The sequence below is a fragment of the Homo sapiens genome, chromosome 1, assembly GCF_000001405.40.
Source record: "Homo sapiens chromosome 1, GRCh38.p14 Primary Assembly".
Lineage (NCBI taxonomy): Eukaryota > Metazoa > Chordata > Mammalia > Primates > Hominidae > Homo > Homo sapiens.
In genome coordinates this window covers 224,838,429-224,841,262 of record NC_000001.11, presented here as the reverse complement: position 1 = coordinate 224,841,262, position 2,834 = coordinate 224,838,429, and the positions used below count along the sequence as shown (strand labels likewise).

General features: G+C 45.6%; 1 annotated feature.

The window, feature by feature from the left end:
• Positions 809 to 1,309: an enhancer, noted in NCBI's record as "NANOG-H3K27ac hESC enhancer chr1:225027656-225028156 (GRCh37/hg19 assembly coordinates)". NCBI's record gives its function as "activates a minimal SCP1, AML or CMV promoter by ChIP-STARR-seq in naive H9 embryonic stem cells {active_cell/tissue: H9 hESC(naive)}" and the evidence as "EXISTENCE:reporter gene assay evidence [ECO:0000049][PMID:30033119]".

Here is a 2,834-nt window from a genome sequence, read left to right as displayed (position 1 = left end):
AATTCCTCAGTTGGCCTTCCCACCTCTATACAGTCTGATAACAGACCAGCCTTTATTAGTCAAATCACTCAAGCAGTTTCTCAGGCTGTTGGTATTCAGTGAAACCTTTATATCCCTTACCATCCTCAGTCTTCAGGAAAGGTAGAACAGACTAATGGTCTTTTAAAAACACACCTCATCAAGCTCAGCCACCAACTTAAAAAGTACCGGACAATACTTTTACCACTTGCCCTTATCAGAATTCAGGCCTGTCCTCAGAATGCTACAGGGTACAGCCCATTTGAGCTCCTGTATAGACGCTCCTTTTTATTAGGCCCCAGTCTCATTCCAGACACCAGACCAACTTAGACTGTGCCCCGAAAAACTTGTCATCCCTACTATCTTCTGTCTGGTCACACTCCTATTCACTGTTCTCAACTACTCATACAAGCCCTGCTCTTGTTTATGCTGCCGGTTTACACTGTTTCTCCAAGCCATCACATCTGATATCTCCTGGTGCTATCTCCAAACTGCCACTCTTAACTCGCTCTTAAAGTAAATAAATAATCTTTGCTGGCAGGGCTATGCTGAACCTCCTTGGGCACTCTCTAATTGGATGTCCTGGGTCCTCCCAATTCTTAGTCCTTTAATACCTGTTTTTCTCCTCTTATTCTGTTTAGTTTTTCAATTCATACAAAACCGTATCCAGGCCATCACCAATAATTCTATATGACAAATGTTTCTTCTAACAACCCCACAATATCACCCCTTACCACAAAATCTTCCTTCAGCTTAATCTCTCCCACTGTAGGTCCCCACGCTGCCCCAATCCCACTCAAAGCAGCCCTGAGAAACATCGCCCATTATCTCTCCAGATCACCCCCCAAAATTTTCACCACCCCAACACTTCAACACTATTTTGTTTTATTTTTCTTATTAATATAAGAAGACAGGAATGTCAGGCCTCTGAGCCCAGGCTAAGCCATCATATCCTCTGTGACCTGCATGTATACATCCAGATGGCCTGAAGTAACTGAAGAATCACAAAAGAAGTGAAAATGGTCTGCTCCTGCCTTAACTGATGACATTACCTTGTGAAATTCCTTCTCCTGGCTCATCCTGGCTCAAAAGCTCCCCCGCTGAGCACCTTGTGACCCCCCCCCACCCCTGCCAGCCAGAGAACAACCCCCTTTGACTGTAATCTTCCTTTACCTACCCAAATCCTATAAAACAGCCCCGCCCCTATCTCCCTTCGCTCTCTTCTGATTCAGCCCACCTGCACCCAGGTGAAATAAACAGCCTTGTTGCTCACACAAAGCCTGTTTAGTGGTCTCTTCACACGGACGTGAGCGGAAAACATAAGTCTTTATATAAATTCAGTTTAATGTGCTGAGTACTACAATAGAGGCAAACAAAGGGAGCTAAGGGAACAGGGAGGGAGTTAGAAAAGGCTTCCCAGGAGACCTGGTAGAGGAAATATACTTTGAAAAGGTATCCAAGCCAAGGGAGAAAGCTGATGAGAAGGGCATTGGGAGGAGAGAGAACCCAATAAACCAAGACACGGAAGCCAGAAACCTTGGGACAGTGCAGTGGCAACTGGTGCTGGCTCTGTTTTTGTTTTTTGAAGGGCTCATTTACTAGCACACTATATGCAAGGAACCAAAGCAATTTCTTAATTTTAGAGGTAACAAGACTCTTGGTTAGAAGTGACAGAAGGTTATACTGAGGATACTAGGCTTTTTTTTTTTTTTTTTTTTTTTTTTGAGACGGAGTCTCGCTCTGTCGCCCAGGCTGGAGTGCAGTGGCACAATCTCAGCTCACTGCAAGCTCTGCTTCCCGGGTTCACACCATTCTCCTGCCTCAGCCTCCCGAGTAGCTGGGACTACAGGTGCCCACCACCACGCCGGACTAATTTTTTTGTATTTTTATTAGAGATGGGGTTTCACTGTGTTAGTCAGGATGGTCTCGATCTCCTGACCTCATGATCCGCCTGCCTCGGCCTCCCAAAGTACTGGGATTACAGGCGTGAGCCACCGCGCCCAGCCAGCATACTGGGCTTTCTTGTGGACTCCAAGGAAGTCACAGGCCTTCAGAAAGGGATATAATGAAGAACTTGAACACTGTCAGGCCCTTTTGACCTTCAGCTCGGCTTTCTTCTGATATCTCTCTTTCTCTCTTTCCTTTCTAACCTCTCTTTCTCCTAATGATGTCTCTGTTCCAGACATCAGGACACATGGCTGCCAAGGTTCTTAAAGTTTTAACACAACAGCTTTAACTTCTGAAAAAGACTTATCTCTCCTTCTCCATTCTAGTTCCAAGACGTCCTGGAGAAGCATTGTAATTCGCTCACTTCAGCTGAGTTCTGACTTCTGGACCAACCAACTGTAGTAGGGGAGGTGTGATGTGGAGAAGGGACTGTAATTGGTCCCTATTTGGTCAAGTGCCCATCCCAGAACCAACCAACTGTGGCCAAAGGTTACACAGACACCACAGCTCAAATGGTAACCATGTGGATGTGTGCGGGGTAGCAATTCCCAGAAGAAAGGAGGTCCTGGCAATAGGTTCCAAGATGGAGGAGAGTAGCGAAAAGCAAGTCTTCAAGGTAGGGAGGCTTGTGTGGCAGAGTTGGGCTTTGCCCAGTGGATGACTTAGCATGCAAGGTGGGGGCACAGGGGGAGTCAGGTCGTGATCACAGATTGCCATGGTCTTGTGTGGAGGTTAAGTATGTGACAGGTTAGACTTGTCTCAGGGAGAGCAATTAGAAGGTAATTGCTCTCATCCACATGAGAACTTTTTATTTAATCCTACCTTATACTTACAATGTTGTGTTCCTTTTTTTTTTTTTTTTTTTTTGG